General features: G+C 39.4%; 1 protein-coding gene across 2 annotated transcripts in view, besides 2 other annotated features; it reads right to left on the reverse strand.

Moving 5' to 3' along the window:
- The window catches only part of ANOS1 (anosmin 1), a 203,264-nt gene that overhangs the window by 143,644 nt on the left and 37,897 nt on the right, over window positions 1-21,723 (reverse strand). The window lies entirely within an intron of this gene.
- Window positions 15,666-16,638: an enhancer, noted in NCBI's record as "OCT4-NANOG-H3K27ac hESC enhancer chrX:8656224-8657196 (GRCh37/hg19 assembly coordinates)". NCBI's record gives its function as "activates a minimal SCP1, AML or CMV promoter by ChIP-STARR-seq in naive and primed H9 embryonic stem cells {active_cell/tissue: H9 hESC(naive and primed)}" and the evidence as "EXISTENCE:reporter gene assay evidence [ECO:0000049][PMID:30033119]".
- Window positions 16,639-17,611: an enhancer, noted in NCBI's record as "OCT4-NANOG-H3K27ac hESC enhancer chrX:8657197-8658169 (GRCh37/hg19 assembly coordinates)". NCBI's record gives its function as "activates a minimal SCP1, AML or CMV promoter by ChIP-STARR-seq in naive H9 embryonic stem cells {active_cell/tissue: H9 hESC(naive)}" and the evidence as "EXISTENCE:reporter gene assay evidence [ECO:0000049][PMID:30033119]".

The following is a 21,723-nucleotide window of genomic DNA, read 5'->3' on the forward strand; positions in this document are numbered from 1 at the left end:
GTGGCCAGGGGTGCACTGGTTCCCAGCATATGAGTCTTTCATTGCTAACAAGCTCCACTGCATTTGAGAGAGCCCCTGGGATAGGAGAGCAGGGAGGCTTATCTCCTGTCTCCTGGATGAGGTACTGAGAAAGAGACACCCTCCGCACTCTGCTCCTCACTGACCAATGAAGGGACTCACGAATCTGTTAATTTATCAACTAGGGTGTTCGACCTGAACACTAGTGATATCCTGATTGTAACAGGAAATCTCATCAATTAGAGGATGTCTGATCTAACAGGGCAGGAGACCATAACTGTTACTTGTATTGTTTCAGGGAGCAAAAAACAAGAGTGAAAGAAAGCATTAACAATTAAGAAAGCATTTTCTTAATTTCTCCAGAGAAAATAAAACCCAGGAAAATAACAAAAGCAATAAGGAAATTAAAACTTTATCCAAGGAGCATATAACTAAATAAATGCCATCTAATATTGGGCATCATCAATGTACTTTCAACTTTATGTCCGCACATCATAGTATAAAAGAGAACTGTAAAAAAAGACAACTAAGTTTTACATTGAAATCATTTGTTATATCAGATGTTTTTAAATATAAACATATGAAGGTGATATAACAGGATATTAAGATGAAACCTGTATTTTAACATTGTTAATGTGTCACCATAAATTTACCTTTTGGCATTATTTTGGTAAACAGCACTGAATGTTCCATGCACGGCAAACAACTAATTTAATGTAGCTTTTAAATTGGCAGGCCATACTAAAATTTAGCTATTTTCTTTGCTTACTGATGTCATCTAGAATGACGCTTTTGTTGTTCTTTTCCACAGACTTACAAGCAATTTTATGCAACATGACGCTGCTTCCAAAGCATCCAGAACTATGGAACTTGGCAGGTTTACCAGTGTCTGCTCGCCCCAACTACAACCTTTATGGAAAAGGAAGGACTCAGTCAGACAGAACTGGAGAGTTTTTCCAAATGCCCTCAAAAAAATGTACCCTGGCTTGAACAAGAGAGCCAGAACAGCCTGGTGGGACGTCAGCCTTCTAGATTTAGCATGACATGGGCAGCAGTGCAGTTCTGAAGAACTCCCCTGCAGCACACACAGCTCCTGATTTCTATCTGTGCTCACTGGTCTGGATTTTGAGAGTTTTGAGAAATGAATTGTGCATCCTGTTATGCCTCGAAACGTTAACTCAACTCATATTTTTAAGTGGTCACGTTAGGTAAGTATCCCCTCATTAGAACAGAGACAATGCTTGATTCATTTTCCAGGTTGAGTTGTAGTTAACATGTGAGTGGGATCGAACCACCATAGGTACAGATGCTTAGAGAACAGGAACAACAGAGAAGGGACAGAGACAGTGAAGGAGGCTGTATTGTCTTCACACCTTTACAGGCAGGGCGACTTCAGCAAGAAGTAATTTACCACCCACACTAAGCTCTTTATCCCAGATTTGCTTTACTGTCTCTCTCTACCCAAGGTGTCAAACACTCACTCTGTCATCATGTTGCAAATGGCACTAGTAAAGGAAACTTCCCCAGCTCCCAAGAAGGGCCTTATAAACCAAGTGTAACAACCTTTTGGCTTCTTTCTTTACAATGAGAAACTCATTAGCTGGATTATTTTTTTTCTTTTTGACATAGAAATAATCTGGGACTCCTTTCACTTTTATGTGATAGAAAGATAAGACGCAGAATCAACATACAAATCTGCTATAAAGAGTGCAGAAAGCACTTCCTCAAAGTCTCAACTAACTTTTCCCCAAAAAACTATGCTTGATAAATTCATGTTTTTTAGAAATGGGTAAAAAAATGCCTACTTAGTCTGTTTTGCTGTTTATGTTAGCGATTCTGTGATCCAGTGACGTCAGACTTATAAAATCAACAAGTTTCACAAACAGAATAAGAATCACTCCTTAAAATAACAAATGTTACCCGTTGAGTGATGTGATTGCTTTATCGTCTCTTTAAGGCAGGGATGTCCAATCTTTTGGCTTTCCCGGGCCACACTGGAAGAAGAAGAATTGTCTTTGGCCACACATAAAATAGACTAACACTAATCATAGCTGATGAGCTTAAAAAAAATTGCAAAAAAACTCACAATGTTTTAAGAAAGTTTACAAATTTGTGTTGGGCCGCATTCAAAGCCGTCCTGGGCCTCATGCGGCCCAAGGGCCATGGGTTGGACACGCTTGCTTTAAGATCTTAGGGAAACAGAAGGTTAAAATGATAAGCATGGAACTGAAGACTTCATAAGAAAATGCACATGTCCCATTCATGTGAAATTCGTAATTCACACATGTAACTTCCTGACTCACCCCTAAAATGTGGGGGACCCCAGGAACCACAGAGAAGCTCCAAATGGATTTTCTCAAGCAAACTGTAATATATAAATATATATTTTACCTCCTAACCAGGTCTTCTCTGCCCTGCCTTCTGCCCTGTCTTCTTTCCACACAATCAACCTCATGTAATGTAACAGCAAATCCTCATTTCCACAGCCCACTTTTGGTGGAAGAGTCATTTTTCCCAAATATGATCGAAAATGCATTATGTGAGCCAGTGAAGGAAATCCAGAAATAGGGTCTAGTTCGTCTGGGCTCCTGTACATCCTATACAAGAAATGAACTTTGCAAAATCCCAAAGCTGTGAATTTGGCACCTCTCAACTAGCACAAATTTCCTTTCAAACATTAGGAAGAGAAAGAGAAAAAGAGACTCCAAAGTATTTTGTAACATAATGTATTCCACATTTCCATAGGCATCATTTTTAGGCCAAAACATATGGTAATACATAAACTGATCATATGCTGCCTGCCACGCTCAGCAGAGAAAGGCAGCATCTCAAAGGATTTCCTCAAATCCTTTACTCTAAGAAAGGCATGGAAACCATTTCATCAGAAATCATTCCCTCCGTGGCAGTGTGCAAAGACAGTCCACCCAGATGCATAATAAAGCCTCAGGAAATAATGACAACAGCAGCCTCTATTGCAAGTGGAGCTGAAAAAAGCGGTGGGTCTTAACCACTGATACAATGCAATCATTAAGATATTTAAATATAAGAAGACCATTTCATGCGTCTCTAAAGCTTAATGCTACTATCTCAACAATCCAGTGTAGAAATTGTTAAGAGGGGTCTCTCTCTGGGTGCCTTAATTTATATTTCTTTTTTTTTTTTAGTTTTTATTTTTATTCTAAGTTCCAGGGTACATGTGCAGGATGTGCAGGTTTGTTACATAGGTAAATGTGTACCATGGTGATTTGCTGAACGTATCGACCCATCACCTAGGTATTAAGCCCAGCATGCATTAGCTATTTGTTTGGATGCTCTCCCTCCCCCCACCCCACCCCCCGACAGGCCCCAGTGTGTGTTATTCCCTTCCCTGTGTCCATGTGTTCTCATCGTTCAGCTCCCACTTATGACTGAGAATATGAGGTGTTTGGTTTTCTGTTCCTGCATTAGTTTACTGAGGATAATGGCTTCCAGCTCCATTCATGTCCCTGCAAAGGACATGATTTTTTCATTTTTATGGCTGCATAGTATTCTATGATATACATGTACATTTTCTTTATCCGGTGTATCATATATTTTTTACTTCTGTAAGCAAAATGTCATTTTGACTGTTTCTCTTTTATCTAACCCAAATGGCCAACTAGCCACCTTTATTTGTAGGGCCAGCAAAAAACTAAATTTTAGTATTGGGTTCCTATATGTCTCATTTAATATTATATACTTTGATTTTCTCTCCAAATTACCTCATTTGGCCAAGATAACATAACTAATGTGCAACTACTTAAGCACATCCCTGAGTTTTCTTTTTAAAGTGGAAGCTAAAGGAAAACTAAGACACATGCATTATGTTATCTTTATTTGTATAAGCTAATCAGAGTAAAATGGTCTTCCCAAATATGAAAAATAAAATGACTTGATACATGTCAAAAAAGGGCACATCATCTGTCAATAAGTCCTGTTGAAGTGTGAGGGGAAGGGAGTGAAGTTCTGCTTTTCTTTAATGAGATGTCCCCATAAAAATATGATTTGTGAATTTGTAAGGATCCCTAACTGTCACATAAAGACCTGGACTCCACCCATGTAACACGGTCATGGTCTAGCCAGTTTTCTTTTTTAAATATATTCATTTTTTATTGCAAGGGTTCATCCTACACATTGTTATAACAGACAAATAAATCACTTCACTTTTCTCACCTGTAATAAACAGAGAGCTTCTCTGTTTTACAGTGTTACAAAATTAAATGAGACAATTTATGACAAACCATTTGTCGATCATGGAGTACTCCACAAACAGCTGAGTACTGTTGCTAATAATATGACTTCAGTGACAATCATAACCTCAGAAACTTAAGACAGAGCCTGTCTATGGCAAAGAAATCTAGAATCTGTGGTGTCTCATTCAAAGAAATGTATTTTCATGAGAATATCACTTCCCTGCTCCCAGTCCTCCTTAACTTTTCCCTCTCGCCTGAGACCACACTGCCTGATAGAACCAAATGTCAGCAGTGACAGTGGGGAATACTCTAAGTTGGTGCTGTCCAATATTGCAGTTTCTAGCTACCTAGGACACTCAGCACGTGAAATGTGACTAGTGCAGTTTCTCACTCTCGCCACTGTTGACATATTGGGCCGATGGTTCCTTGCGATGGTGGCTGTTCTGTGCATGGTAACACTACCACGCAGCGTGTTGAGCTGCATCCCTGACCGCCCCCACTAGATACCAGTAGCACCTCTTCCCTGGTAGTGACAACTAAAAATGTCTCTCGACATTGCCAGATATCCCCTTGAGGACAAAATCACCTCTGGTTGAAAACCACTAGGCTACAGAGATGGAGAATTTTCATTGTATTCAATTTAAGTAAATGTAAACTTAAATAGTAAATGTGGCTGATGTCTACCATACTGAACGGAATTGCTTTAAAATTTACTGAGATTCAAAAGATAAATGTTGGACGGATGGATACCCCCTTCTTCATGATGTATTTATTTCACATTGCATGACTGTATCAGAACATCTCATGTACCCCATAAATATATACACCTACTATGTACCCACACAAAGTTAAGGAAATTAAAATTTAAAAAGAAAATTTACTGAGATTATTTTTCGAAAACAGATACAACAGTTAAGAAATATGTTGGAAAGTTTAGATTACATACATATATATATATTTTTTTCCTCTGAAAGGGCTAAGCATATGTTAAACAATGTAAGCTTTCATTTTATTTACACATAATTATTTATGTGCTGCCTTTAACTCAGAGCAGTAAGAGAGCTCATAACCTAGCAAGGCATAAAAAGGTACAAAAGTAATAATAAAATGGAGGAGGGGGAAACTACCACAGTGGTTTTATATCCATTCCTGCCACCCAGGGAGGGAATAATGAGATGAACAGATATCGATGGGTTGTAGGGTCCAGAACTAAATTAAAAAATTAACAGCCATAACCACCCCAAGCTGTTCCTGCTGGGCTCGCCATGCTTGCCCCACCCAGGCAAGGTCTGGATTGTTCACAAGCAGCAGGAATGACCTGACCCGCAAGCTCTCCACAGACCTGCGCTGATGGTTTCTCACTTCCCTCATTAGACACTGAGCCAAGGCAAAGAAACTTTTAAAAAAGTGTTTGCAAGGGTTCATCCTACACATTGAACAGTTTAGTAACTATCACTTTCATTTGAGGAGTGAAAACAATTTCCTATCATAATGGGACAACTGTGTTAGGTTAGGGAATCCTATACGTTACTTAAAGTCCCAAAGTGAATCCAAGTTCAAAGGGAATATTGTGTAAAACAAACAATATCCCTGAGAATTTCAAAGGAGATTGAACCCCAAGTGCCTAGAGATTCCAATGTCTTCATTTCTGGTTCTACATGTAGGGAGATGATCTGAAAGAAGCAATATTCAGTATGATGAAAAAATTAAATTTTATATTTCCTTTCCAAATACTTGGAGAGAGAATCTACTCAGTTTCTGATGCCAAGAACAGAAATTTAAAGTATGAAGAAAGAACATGGGCTTTAAAAACAAAAAGTCCTGCAATGTAGTCCCCAAATGACAAATTTTGGGAACCTTGTCCATTATTCCTTCTGACCCTCAGTTGTCTACATTGTACAATGAGGAAAATGACAGCTACTTCCTTGGGTTATTGGGAGAACTTGAAAGGGCCCCTAGACCAACCTGTGTATGTCGCCCATTTCACATTCTCTAAACTTCAATTCCCTTTACTGAGCATGGCCAATCTTAGTGCTCAAAGGCACAGAAAAGAATAAAAGCTTGCTCTGCCTTTTAAGGAGTTCACGTGAGCCCCAACAGTTGTAATCCACAGCCTCTTTTCCCAAGGAGATGCCAAACGATCTGGGGAGACAGACACATAAACAAGTTACCCAAACACTGGAGCAGATGAAAGAAGTCCATCATGGAAACACACACCACTTACTGTGAGAGCACCCAAACTCCACGGCTCATATAATCTACAGAGAAAATGTTCCCCTAAGTGAACAACCACCCAAAGAGAGCAAAGTAAACAACTTTAATTACAAAACAGAAACTGTCAGGCATCTGTTAGGTTCAAGGGGCCTTTCCAATGGATAAACAGTTATAAAATCATGGGTTCATATATGTAGTTATCCAACTCAAGAGACCAAGAGACTGAGGATGATACCATCCTGCCAACCTTCAGTTCAACAACTCAGAGTGAAAATAATAATAATAAAATTAAAAATCGGCTTTAAGAGGTAAAGCATGCTAAGAGAAATAAGGCAGACACAACAGGATAAATATCCTATGATTCCATTTGTATGAGGTTCTCAGAGTACTCGAATTCATAGAGAAGGAAATTAGAATGATGGTTGTGGAATGGGGGGAATCAATTAATAATTACATTGATTTTCTTTACAAGAGTCCCTATAAGTAGGCATATTGAGATCCTTAGGCCTCTAGAGACACAGAGTCAAATGTTTCACACTTTTAAATTATTTATGCTTATAATATCCACCTTTAGGGATTTCTTGCAAAAAAAAAAAAAAGTCTTATCCTGCAAAAAGGTTATTTCTACAGTCAAATTCATAAAAACCGAAAGTAGACTGGTGGTTGCCGGGGGCTGAGGGAGGGGGAAATGAGAAGTTGTTATTTCATGAGTATGGAGTTTTAGTTTGGTAAGATGAAAAAGTTCCGGAGATCTGTTGCACAACAATGTGAATATACTTAACACTACTTAACTATACACTCAAAAATAGCTCTCACGCTGGGCGCGGTGGCTCACCAGTTGCATTTCCAACAACGTCTCAGGTGATCTGAGGCTGCAGGGTCCATAAACCACACTTTGAGTAGCAAGAGTCTAACCAACTAAATTGTGAATACTGAAGCTCAGTAATCCCAGCACTTTGGGAGGCCCAGGTGAGTGGATCACTTGAGGTCAGGAGTTTGAGACCAGCCTGGCCAATGTGGTGAAACCCCATCTCTACTAAAAATACAAAAATTAGCCTGGCATGGTGGTGTGTGCCTGTAATCCCAACTACTCGGGAGGCTGAGGCAGGAGAAAGAATTGCTTGAACCCAGGAGGCAGAGGTTGCAGTGAGCCAAGATCGCACCACTGCACTCCAGCCTGGGTGACAGAATGAGACTCCATCAAAAAAAAAAAAAAAAAAAAAAAGGCTTTCATGGTAAATTTTTAATTTTTAAATTATTTATTTATTTATTCTTAGAGACAGGGTCTCACTCTGTCACCCAGGCTGGGCTGCAATGATGTGATCATAGCTCTCAGTGGTAAATTTTATGTTTTGTGTGTGTGTGTATGGTGTGATTTTTTTACCACAATAAAAAATAAAAATGTTACTTTTATAATAAAAGAAAAGCTGTTTATTAGAAAGAAGTAATAGTCATAAAACACTAACTTTCTTCAACATATTTCAATGATATTTCTTCAAATTAAATTTCCAAACAGACAACTGTAATAAAAATTTTGAACCAGGGTGTTTTTGTTGGTGAGGAAAAGTTTTAGAGTTGTCGATCAGATGATATCCCAGGAAGACATAAGGCAATCTAATCAACTGTGCTTATTTCTCCTATTTTATACAACTTAAGTGACATGGAGGCACCTGCTCATTTCACCTTCCACACTGAGAACACTGCTCTCAGCTCATGTCCAGTAATCTCCTTCTTCCCGTCATTCTCTCACTCTAGCACTGAGCACTAATCAACTCTCATAATATGTGATCAGGTTATGTATGGTACAGATTCCCTAGTTAAGAGTATCAGAATATGCCATCCCAAAATATGCTACTTTGGCATAAGGATTATTTTGAGCTGAGAGCAATTGAGAAGCAGTAGATGCAGGAAGAACTCTCTGCCTTCCCCATTTCTGCTTAAAAGCAGACATAAATTTCCCCTTTGTAAAGGCAATGTAAGTTTCCATTTGTAAAAAGGTTCCCTTCTTCCATACCAGGAAGAGAAAAATAACTCATATTATCCGCATAACAAGCCTTAGTAAACAAGCCTTATCTACCATACATTTCTAGGTCACTTTCCCACAATTTACTGCCCGGAGCCCAAAACCCCCTTTTCTTTGTCTATTCTCCTCTCCACAATGTATTGCCCTTCATTAAAATGGTATATAAACTTCTAGGTCTAACCACTTCTTTGAGTTTTTATTTCTTTTCTGTGAAGTCCCTGTGCATGTGAAATTATTATCATCAAATAAGCTTTGTTTGCCTTGTTTTCCTGTTAATGTCTTTTGTGCATTAAATTTATAGGCCCCAATAACAGAACCCTGCAAGGGTAAAAGGAAAGCTTTTCCATTGCTATACTAGTGTATTTACCTAGATATTTTATATATGACAAAGAAAACTAGTATCAATACAAACCAGTAAAATGTGAAGATGAATATTTACGTGCTTTCAAGAGAATATAGTTACATCTCGTTTGAGAGATTGCCCAGCCTCTCAAAACCTGACTTCCCTCTTTTTTCTCTTCCTCATGGCCACACTACCAAAAGAAAGGAGAACCATACCCGGAATGAAATTTCTCCCTTTCCACACTTTCCTCAAGTAACATGCAGTCTGCCCCCTGTCTTCCAGGCTTTCCTAAGACTCCTCTTTCAAAGTCTCCAAGGACATCAAGGCCCATTCTATGGTCCCCACATCTTATTAGCCACAGGACTTTGAGAGGGTCACTCTGTCCAGCATTTTGCATAATAATCAAGGAAAGTGAATACTTTCCATTCCCATCTCAGAAAGATGCTTTAAAAGCAAATGGTATTCATTTATGTGACAATTCTTTGCAAACTGTAAATCCTAACCAAATGTAAGATATTAAGATAATGACCAAAGATCAAGCCAAAGTTACTATCAACATATTTGGGGAGAAATCCAGAAGTAATAAAAATGTCAAATTACTCCTAATGTAAGATAAGGAAGTGAAAGAATCACACTGATTGGGGGTACACTTCTGAGAGCACAGAATTTAAGATTTCTGATTCAGATGACTGAATTTATATCCAATCCACTCCCCACACAGCACTCCATCACCCAAACGAACCCTTCGCAAGCACGGGGTCAGGCACATGGATGGCATATATTTAAAACTTAACAAATGAAAAGTGAGCTAAGAAGGAGGAATGGGGGTAATGAGTTTCCAAGACTCAATAATTTCAGGCTCTACCTGCAAAAAATATGTAAGCAAAAAACTACAAGTCATGGCTAACAGGCAGGAAGGATTAATCAATTGGTCCTGGGACTAAAGGAAGATAAATGTCAGAGAAAGCTACAGAGAAGAAAAAAAAAAAAAGTAAGATCTGGCTTTTTTCGGAAAACGAGAATTTCACCACACACACACACACACACACACATACACAAAAGGGACTGGAGCAACAGGTAATGTAATAAGTGTAAAGAGAACAACAAAGAGATTTAACACATGCTATATGGCTGTTCAAGACCCGTGGGATGCATTAAGCCGTTTAATCATCACAAGAATCTATACAGTGGCCCCTACTATTATCTGCCCCATTTTTCTTCAGATGACAAAATCGAGGTACACAAAACAAAATCACTTGCTCAAGATCACATAGCCCCTAAGTAGAGAGGCCATAATGTGCTGATTAATTCCTGAACTGAATTTTAGTAGTCACAGGCTTGCCACTTGCTCTTCATCCCCACGCTGTATTACCTCTCCAAAGTACTACAAGCAAAAGCAAAGAGGTATGAAAGAATGTGGCATGCTGAGGAGTCTGGGAAAATTGTCTAATGAGAAAGAAAAAAATGAACCCTGAGAAAATACACACACACAAAAAAAAGCAGAGTCATCTGGAAAGTTAGATGGAGACTCAATATAAAGGATGCTGAAAAATGTGCCAAAAATTTGATGTGATCCTGTAGGTTAGGGCTACCACGGACCATCATCTACTGGAATCCTCTTAGAAATGCAGACTCTCAGGCCCCAGCCCAGACACACCACATCAGAATCTATGGAGGTGGGGCCCGGGAATCTGCATTTGAGCAAGCCCGCCACGGGATTCTTGAGCATGCTAAAGTTTGAGAAGCACAAACTTTAAGACCTTGGGATCTGTGAAGAGCAAAAATGGAGAGAAAAATTGGGGCTATGGGATTACCACATTTTAGGGATAGTAAATGCTTCAGTGATATCAGAGGGGATAGCAAAACAGTTTGAGAGATTTATCAGAAGGACTTTGCAGGCAGCTAGATAGAAAAGTAAAGGACGAGGAGCGATGAAGGAGGATTTTGAGTTTTTTAGCTTGGGTGCTTAAGATATATTAATCTTTTAATTAATATTAATAATTCCAGAGAGATATACAGGTTTGGGGAGCACTAGTAAGTAACTCGGCCCAGGTGATGGAGCTAGTGAATCCCTTCAGCCTTTAACACTGGTGCCCAAAGACCAAACTCTATTGTGCCTCTCACTCAAACGGCAGAAGATGTCCATTTAAATCAGGACACATCAATGTCAAGGATTTAGATAGGATCTTAAATCAGAAATAGCCAGTAAAAAGTTGAATCTAGAAGGACAGGAATACTGCAACGGTCTACATGTGTTACAGAAACAAGGCAAGTAAAGAAGAGGTATTTCCTTGGCCAAAAATAGAATTCTTGCTCTGCCTCCCAAATATCAGAGAGCAACGCCATTGCCCCCATTTCCTTTAGATTATGGTGATTGTGAAAGAGAGGCTTCAATTCTATTCTTTAAATCATCTTAGGGCTTGATTTATGCTGCTGCTGCGAATGCATGACTGACATTATCCTGCAAGTCCAAACAGAATGCAGGCAAACTAGTGTTGCCTTTGTCCGGATCAGGAGGTAACCTCTCAGCAGAGTGACAGCTAATGTTATAACACTGGAGGTTTCAGCACGGTGCACGCAAAGGCTGGGAGATGTCACCCTTCTGATCTATGCTACTTTTTCCTGACAAATACTATGCTAGGACTGCGCAGAAAATGATTCAGAAGAAATATAGAAAATCCTCCCCATGTACTTATTCTATCTGAGCTCATGTCTGCTTATAACATGGCCATTACCAACCAGAAAACAAAAGTTCTAAGGAAGGTTATTGCCTTTCTGCCTCAAAACAAACTAGGGAGACAGGCAGAGGATGCACAGGATGCATGTGGGGAATAGGGCAACATTCAGAAACGTGAAAACACAGCAGACAATTGCACTTGTGGCAAATTTGCCTTGGGTCTTGGAACTGCTATCTTTGAAGGGCCTTCACAACAGGGCTTCCCGGTCATCAGGGGACTTTTTGGTGCTGCTTCATCCAAGAGGGCTAAGATTTACAGTTGATTAGCCTGCATAGTTCAGTTGCTTTTTCAAAAGATTCTAGGAAGGGATTATTTCTGTGCCCAAAGAGCCCCTAGAGAATAGAGAAGGCTGCTTGCCGGCCGTAATGTGAATTCCCCAGAGTCGGTACACTGTGCTCACTGAAGCAGATGAAGTAAAGTTAAAGAAGCATTTAGTTCTTCAGAATGCCAGCCTTAATAAGTATCTTTTTGTGGAAGGATTTAGGAGGAGGGGAGGGTTATCCTTAGTGCAGGCATTATTTCCTCATACAAAAAGGGAAAATGTGCATACAGTTGGATGTAAAAAGCCAACCTCGAATGCCTGCCCCCCACCCCCCGCCTTCCCCGAGGAAAAGTTGCTGAACACACACTCCCAAACACGAAAGCATGAATCTTCACAGCTTAATAGTCCCGAAGCCATTGTGAAGTTTCTCTTGGGAAACACTGTTCATTCATCTGCGACTGACCAAGTTCAACCATTCAGCTGTGAGAACTCGGAGACTTGCAGCCATCAAAAGACCCACCTTCCTCAGCAAGCGGAAGCCAGAGGAGCTGCGTCCCCAAGGAAGATCTCGGGAACTCGCTTCTCCTCTCCACAAGGATCCGTTCCAGCCCCACAAGAGAAGTCTGCAGAAGGCTGAATCTGGGTGCATCTGCAGGCAGCTCAACTCTTAAATGATCTCTGCTTGCACAGTTCAGGGGTTGTCCTGGCCCCTGCGGCTCTCACAGTTCTCCCTGCAAACAGTGCTCCTTATGTGGAATTTGACACAGAATTAGTCACTTGCAATGAGTTAAAATGAGTATGATTTAATTAGACAGTTTCGCATAAGCCCAATTTTCTAACCAACAGCAACATTTTCCTATTTAAACCCTGCGTTTTCTTCAACCTGTCATCACACAGGAATATACACATTGACACCAACTGAGCTATTGCTATTAATATAATGAACACAGTATCGACAGAGTGGCCATTCCATTATCGTTAAATAAGCCAGAAGCCATTCATTATACCTCTCTGTGCTTAAAATTTTCAGCTGGGGCTCCTATAACTTAAGGCAGAGAGAAAGTCTTTCATGGAAACCAACATAAACATTTGCCACCCATAAGAATAGAGAGAAAAAGGGACAGAGAGGGAGGGAGGGAACAATTGAACAGAAAAAAGAAAAGAAGAGAAGAGAAGAGAAAGAGAAAGAAAGAGAAAGAGAGAGAAAGAGAGGAGAAGGGGAAGAAAGAAAGAAGGAAGGAAGGAAGGAAGGAAAGAAAGAGAAAGAAAGGAAGAAAGAAAGAAAGAAAGAAAGAAAGAAAGAAAGAAAGAAAGAAAGAAAGAAAGAAAGAAAAAGAAAGGAAGGAAGGAGGGAGGAAGGGAAGGAAGGAAGGAAAAAGAAAGGCAGGAGGGAAGAAGAGAAAGAAAGAGTGCACGAGCAAGATTTACAAAGTGCACACTTTAAGTCATTTTCCCCCACACAAATGGAAAATGAACTTACCCACATTGGTAGCTATGCTCTGAAAAGACCCAGTTGAGAGAAGTCCTTTCTTTATTGTGTAGTTTTAAAGACGATTCTTTGACCTCTGCTATTTATGACTTGAGATCTGTGAAGGCAGGGCCAAACCCCTCTGGCTCCCATGGCCCACACAAACAAAAGCGCCCCACCTTTGTTCCACTACCACATTTCCCATCAGGACAAGTTTCTACCGCACTCCCTGTTTTCATAATTTAAGTTGTGTTCTCTTAAATTTTTCTTGCTCAGTTACAGCCATTACCTAATTTACAAGAGGCTCCCATTGCTCTTTTCCAGTAAATCTTTTCCCATAATCATCACTTCTCAGCTGAAAGAACTTTGGTATGAATATAGATGTCTTGTCACTTCATTTTGTTTAACCATGAAATTCTGGATAAAAGGGTTCAAGAGACTAAACAACTCATCTGGCAACATGCGCAGCCACAGTATGATATCCTTCTACCGATTTATTATTTTATGGATGTGTGCATTTATCTATGGCCTTTCTCACTCTTAAAATAATTCAAGACAATTTACAAAGCTACATATGATTACAGCTGGAAAGCACATCTTAAGTGAGTGAAAAAAAAATGAGATAAAGGGAAATTAAAATGGGGAGAAAATAAATACTGTCAAGGATAAAGCAAGTTTCCTAAATACATATGATCAATTTCAGCACACTTGTTAAAGACAGGCTGTTTGATTTAAGTTTTAGCTTTCTAAAGACCAATTGTAAGAGGAAAACACTATTAACTGCAAAATCCACAGTATCCATAGGCCAAAAGTATCTACCCATTTCTCAAGGAGGCACAATTAGTACTGATAATGCAATCAGAATGAATGTCTCTAGGCCAGGCATGGTGGCTCAGGCCTGTAATCCCAACGCTTTGGGGGCCAAGGTGGGCAGATCACCTCAGGTCAGGAGTTCCAGACCAGCCTGGCCAACATAGCGAAACCCCCACTCTACTAAAAAAATACAAAAATTAGCCGGGTGTGGTGGCAAGCATCTGTAATCCCAACTACTCAGAAGGCTGAGGCAGGGGAATTGCTTGAACCCAGGAAGTGGAGGTTGCAGTGAGCCAACATCGCGCCACTGCATTCCACCCTGGGAGACAGAGCCAGACTTCGTCTCAAAAAAAAATTAAATAATTAATTAATTAATATCTCTCCAAGTTTCCTCCCCAAAATGGCATGACATAAGAGACCAATGTCCTCAACAACTTTCTTAGAGCAGCCCCAACGACTAGGTTTGTAGGACAATTTCTGAGGTTATCATCCATATTGCATTGCAGCAACTTACCATTCAGCAAAAGCCATTTGTTAAAGGAAGATTTGAAATGGCAAAGACATAGCTTAGCCGTGTAATCAAGGCATAGATTCTAGAGCACCTGGAAGTGATACATCCATCAGGCAGGTATAAATACTGTCTCTCTCCAGTGGCTTTTGGTACCACCAGGATACGATGAGTTTCATATTCTACTACTTGGAAAGTTCCAGATGCCTGGTGGCTTTGCTTATACTTCATTGTCACTTCATAGCTAGCAAAACTTTCATTAGCTCTGACATTCACTGTGAAATTAAAGGTCCTAACAGACATTTGTCTAAAATAAATAAATAAATAAATAAATACATAAATATTAAAAAAAAAAGCAACCCACTTCCTGCATAGATATGCATCAAATAGGGAGAAGGGAGTATCTGACAAAAATCCTCCTCAGAAAACGTGATTTCATTTTCCAACCCAGAAGAAAACAGAAGGTGTAATCCAGTAAACACACACACACACACACACACACACACACACACACTGATTACCCAAAGAACATCATGTTTTGAGTAGTGAATCTTACAAGGATATTCTTAGACCTAAATTAGTTGGAAAATAAATATGCCAAGGTGGTTGAATGTCATTATTTATGGGGCAAGGCAGGTTCTTCCCCATTGAATAGATAAAAGATCTCTTGAGAAAGGCAAATTGTTTTAGTTTCAAACAATTAGTCTATATTCTCTTTTTCAGGCAAGTGAGACAGCAAGAGTTTCTATGTTCACCCAGTTGGTAAAAATCGAGTTTAAATTAAAACCTCCATTTATTTTCCTACAATGACTGCTCTTTCAGAAACACAGAGAAATGAAAAGTTTCCAAAGTAGACTACGCACAAACACAAATTAGGTTTTCTAAGAGGAACTCCTATGTGTGATTCGGGAGACAAGTAGACTTGAACCTCATTCCAACGATTACGTATAAGGTGGAGTCAAAATTATGAACATAGAAAAGCAAATGTGGACCCCCCTTAAATTCAAGTGAGAGTTTTCTACCCCAGTAGAGAATATTTTGACAGTGACTGTCACGGCAGAGATAAAGCAACATGATACAATCTCATGTTCAATGCCCACAAATGCTGATCTACCAGAGACTGAAATCCAATTCTGTCTCCTTTCTCAAATATAAGGGTCCCCAAACTTCAATCAGCATTGGTGCATTTTTCCAGTTGCCAGAATAAACCTCAACATCTTCAAACAAGCGGTGCTCATCCCTGCTCTGCGTGCTTTCTGATGAACACATTACAACTTCAAAACATCTGTCAGACTGTAATCACCATGTAATGCATCTTGACTCAGATGGTTTTCATATGTTCAAAACAGATTCCCTTTCTAAAGGCAGCTTTATGGAACTCGTCTTCAACTGTGAACCAAATAAGAGATTTCGTTTGCATTTTCTTTCATCAGATGGAAGAAGAAATTAATCGTAAGAGATTAGGGAAAGACTTACACGGAGGTGCATTTCCCCTTCCGCATGTTTTTCCTTTGAAGTTTATAGCAGGTGGAAGAGTCTTTCACACCCGTAAAATTGACATGGAAAAGCAGAAACACACTGAGCTATTAACTTGTCACATATTGGATTTAAATCTAAATAGGAACCCGTTCTTTCCCTTATATATTGATTGTGTACCAGCTTAGCAGGAAGCTTTGCATGTTCTTTCAGCAGACAGGCTAGTTTCTAGGCTAAAATAACCTGGAATGTTTCAGCTACCACAGGCTAATGATCACCCAAATGCACACTAATATGTTTGATAAAAGTTCTCAGCGTGAGGGCAGAAAACGCTTACCATGAGAATGACAGTGGTCAGGGGAAGCAAATCAGTGACACCAACTCATGCCGCCTTCAATGCTGGAGGCTCCAATTAGAACTGTGAGTCTGCATTCCAGGGGGCAGTGACAGATGGAAGTTTGCAGCAAATCTCTAATTGTTTAAATCATTAACTCATCCATCCACCTGCATTATCACTAGAAGGGACCCTGCTGGAAGCCTTCAGTGGTTTCTCAAAAATCTCAGGACTATTTCCTGGCCATTTAAGAAATGGTGTTTTGAAACTAGTTGTTTATGTAGCTATTTGTGAGTTCTTTTTTTATCTTTTTCCCAGGCTCTCATTTTTTTCTCTTCTTTTTTCTTTCCATTTCTGCCTTTGCATCAGAGATGATAGCCACTTTAATGTCCTTCTAGAGCAACAATGGATGAATTACTTATAAATCATGCCACACGTCCAGCCCTAACTTAATTTTCAATTCCATCAACTCCCTTAAGACAGACTTCAGGCCGGTCTCCGTGGCTCATGCTTGTAATCCCAGCACTTTGGAAAGGCCGAGGTGTACAAGTGGCTTGAGCTCAGGAGTTCAAACCAGCCTGGACAACATAGTGAGATCTTGTCTCTACAAATAATAATAATAATAATAATAAATTACCCAGGCATGGTGGCACATGCCTGTAGTCCCAGCCACTCAGGAGGCTAAGGCAAGAGGATTACTTGAGCCTGTGAAGTCAAGGATCCAGTGAGCCGAGATGGTGCCACTGCACTTCAGCCTGGGCAACAGAGCAAGACCCTGTTGTCACACACATCCGTGTGAAGAAACTACCAAACAGGTTCTGTGTGAGCAATAAAGCTTTAAAAAAAAAACAAAAAAAAAAAAGAGAGAGAGAGAGAAAGAGAGAGAGACTTCATGTCTTACTAAGCACAAAACGCCAAGGCTACTTATAATTATCTTGTGGCATCATGCTATAGGACAGTTGGAGAAATTTACATCCAGTGGTTTATATTAATCATGCTAATATAATATTGTACATAAGATGGCTTTTTCAAAAGAACACTAGTTGAAACCTCACACACACTAACAATTTCTTTTCGCATGCATTCTACACAAATGTTAAGACCAAAATGTTGGTTTAAGGAAATAATAGAATATTTCTCTTATCTCTTCTAATGTTTATTCTCACATCATATTTATTTTCTCCTGAAAAATAAAGACATGATCTCATGTAAGTAAAGACATGTACTTGTGGAAATAATAACATTAATATCCAAAATGAAGGGGAATTAATTATACCCGACTTGAGACATTTTCTGCACAAATCTCTCTCTTTGAATTACACAAGCCTGCACTTCTCCTGAAATCATTGTCAAACGTGATTTGGCTGTGAAGTCATTGTTTGCTCCAAAGGAGATCAATAAGTTGGACAACAGATGCTTGGTGAACAGCAACATTATTCTTGAAATGTATCATATATAAAGTCAAGAGATATTGTATAAGCATCAGTAAGTATTGCAACAGGTCTAAAGTATCTAAACATTTAAAATTTTGATCCACTACATATTAGAATTGCAATCAGATAAAAAACGTTCACCTTTGGTTCTTGGGTACTGGGGCATGGTGCATTTTCATGTATGTCTGAGTTTTCATTTTGCTCCTAAGAAATGTCTTCCTTGGGCTCTATGGATTTACAGTCATTACCACATAAATCACAGAAAGCATCTCATACAAAACAAAAATTTCCACAGTCATATTCAGATGTGTTTCAGAGGTTTGGCCCTCACTCGATAAATTTCACAGATGGCAAATGAAGCTGTCCAGATTTTTACACAAGCAAAACCAATCTTCCTCACCTCTAAACGTGGTTCTGAATAAAGCTGGAAAATCACTAACAGTTAGGAGTTGTACCCTTATAAGAACTGAACTCCCACTGAGATTAAAGCTGTAAGCCAAGGCACCAAGACTGGGCCCTAAATTACCACTTTTCAACACATACACTCCAAACCAAATGGGGAACAAAAGTCAAGCCAGTGAGTTCTGGCACTCAAAGGCAGAAAGATAAGCATGCAGGCTCCCCACAGATAGGTGGTTGTTACTAAGTGGCATGCCATTGTTTGTTAGATGCAAGGTTTTGAAACATAACTCTGAGCTGAAAGTTAAAGGAGAAATCTTTTTTTTTTTTTTTTGAGACAGAGTCTCAATCTGTTGCCCAGGCTGGAGTGCAGTGGAGCGATCTCAGCTCACTGTAACCTCCACCTCCTGGGTTCAAGTGATTCTCCTACCTCAGCCTCCTGAGTAGCTGGGATTACAGGCGTGCACCACCACACCCGGCTAATTTTTGTATTTTTAGTAGAGACGGGGTTTCACCATGTTGGCCAGGCTGGTCTTGAACTCTTGACCTCGTGATCCACCTGCCTTGGACTCCCAAAGTGGAGAAATATTTTATAAAGTGAAGACAAGACTCATGCAAATATCAGATGGAAATGTACCAAAGATTTTATTTAACTCAAGAAATAGTCATATGTTACATTTGATTCAAAGGAAAAATCCCATAGATAAATAGACAATAGACAGATAAATGATAGACAGATTAAGATGGATGGATGGATGGATGGATGGATGGACGGATGGATGGATGGATGAATAGGGTCAATAAGGAATGCTGGTGCTGAAATGGATTTACAAATATATGCAAAATGTTGTATTCCTGGATGAAGCATCAAGTGCATTCCACTAGACAAAATGTATTTGCATTTTCATGGACAAGAGTTATTTTCATTATCAATTTTCTACCATTTGCAGAGTGGGAAAATAGTTCAAAGCACTGAACACTGGACAGAACTTGGAGAAGTGCAATACAGAGAAAAATAATCTTTACTTTTGCCAATTTTCAAATCTTTCACAATTTTTCTTGACTCTGATCATCACATTTTAACACTGGATTTTCAAAAATTAGCTGTGATTTATTTGAAGTTTTTTTTTCACTATTGTTTACTATTCATTATTTCAAATCCCTGCAGTTTGACAAACAATGTTCTATAAGCTATGTCAGAAACTGTCCATTTTTGTTTGACTTTAAATATTTTAAGATATGTCTTTGTATTGTCAGAAGAATGCATTTTTATTGTTTTGTTTGGGTTTAGTTTTGTCTGTGTGAATGTAATGTCATAGAAGAGGGGTTGACAAACTACAGCAGCAGGCCAAATCCAGGTTGCCATCTGTTTTTGTAGAACCAGTAAGCTAAGAATGGTTCTTTCATTTTCAATGGTTGGAAAAAAAATAAGTAAAATATTATAATGTAAAAATTACAGGAAATTGAAATTTTACTATCTACAAAAAATGTTTTATTGGAACATAGCCACTCTTCTTGGTCTATGTATTTTCTACTATTGCTTTTGTGCTGCAACAACAGAGTTGAGTAGTTGCAACAGATACTTTATGGGCTGCAAAGACAAAGATGGTTACTATCTGGTGTTTTTTTAGAAGTCATTTGCTAACCCTTATCCTAGAACACTGCATTTAATGAAAAGTTACATTGAAAAGGATGATGGGATTCAGGACACACTACTCAAAATACGGCACCTTGGCATATTAAAAAAACAGAAGCAGGAAAGTCTCTCTGACCTCCCCTCCTCACCCACACATATGCTTCTCCCCGATGCAGGGCATACAGCTTAGGAAAGCTTTTCCAACATTCCCAAGAAGCAGGTCAGAAGACACTCATGTGAGGGCCTCCCGATCCCTGGAAGAAAGGAACATGCTCATCTCTGAAGATGAAGGGTCACAGAGAGGAACCTGAACAAACAGGCCTTGCTAAATTCCCCAGTTTATCTACACTAGATCACACCCTTTTTGTCCTATCATATCTCTCCATCAGTATTCACTCTTCATCAAAGCTACTATAAAAATACACAGAATTAACCATTTACTGGAGTCTTCATTTATTTAGGAAGACTCCCACAGCATGTAAATCTTACTAAATAAATTTGCAAGTTTTTCTCTTCTTAGTCTATCTTGTGTTAAAAGGACCTAAGTCATGAACATAGGATGGGTAGAGAGAAGGATATTTGTCCTCCTCTACCAGAAAAAGCCACTGGGAAACATAGATGTTAACATGGCTCATTACAATATTTTGACTCTGTGCTATGACTAAACACCAGGGCATCTTGCCCATGAATTTGAATTTCCTGTCAAATGCTCCAAATCATTCCTAAGTGGGCTTTTAGGGAAATTACATACAATGAAAAATAGAATGTAAGAATAAGCATTTCCTCTGAGCTGGAGGCTGTCTTTGGCTGGATATATCATTGCTTCAGGCCTCAGGTTCCTGAAGCGCACAATGAAAGAATTGCACTGGATATTCCTAAATATTCTCTCTAGCTTTAGAATTCTTCTCTCCATCCTTCATGCAAACAATGATCTCAGTGGTCTGTATCACCTATGTTCCCTTACTGAGAGGAGCCATCTAACTCTTAACATAGTCAGTCCTAGGATCCATGTGTCTGTGGCTCACTCAAATAGTTTTCTCTTTCTTCATCAAATATTTCCATCCCAGAGTACCAAATAAGTTACGAACATGAGAATTGAGCCTTAAGACCATGAGCAGAGCCTAACAGAAACTGGGTAATTCACATATTAACCGTTAATGGGTGAGTACAGAGGAACTTCAGAATGATGGAAAAGAGTTAGAATTGTGAGATTAGCAAAGAGAAAAAGCAGAAATGGATTCTAAAGGTACACAAATGCTCTAATGGGCAAAGTAAGGGGGAGAAGGTGGTTATGTCCCCATTGGTACAGTAATGGGGACTCATAAGGAATATTGCATGAATTTTTTTTTTTTTTTTTTTTTTTTAGACAGAGTCTCACTCTGTCGCCAGGCTGGATCTCAGCTCCCTGCAAACTTCACCTCCAGGGTTCAAGCGACTCTCCTTTCGCAGCCTCCCAAGTAGCTGGGACTACAGGTGTGCACCACCATGCCCAGATAATTTTTGTATTTTTAGTAGAGATGGGGTTTTACCATGTTGGCCAGGATGGTCTCCATCTCCTGCCCTTGTCATCTGCCCACCTCAGCCTCCCAAAGTGCTGGGATTACAGGCGTGGGCCACCGCCCCAGGCTGGAATATTGCATGAATTTTTAAGAATGGATGAAGTAACAATATCTGGGAATTTTCTCAGTGAGCAAAAAAGTAAAAAATTAATGCAAAGACCAAGTTCACCCTTCATATCACTTTATCACTAGGGCCTAGGGCATAGTAGATGCTCAGTGAGTATCTACTGAAATGGGATTAATCAGACTCTATTGGAACGAGCAAATGAAATGCATTTAAAGAAAATG

This window comes from Homo sapiens, chromosome X (genome assembly GCF_000001405.40).
Source record: "Homo sapiens chromosome X, GRCh38.p14 Primary Assembly".
In the NCBI taxonomy this organism is placed as follows: domain Eukaryota; kingdom Metazoa; phylum Chordata; class Mammalia; order Primates; family Hominidae; genus Homo; species Homo sapiens.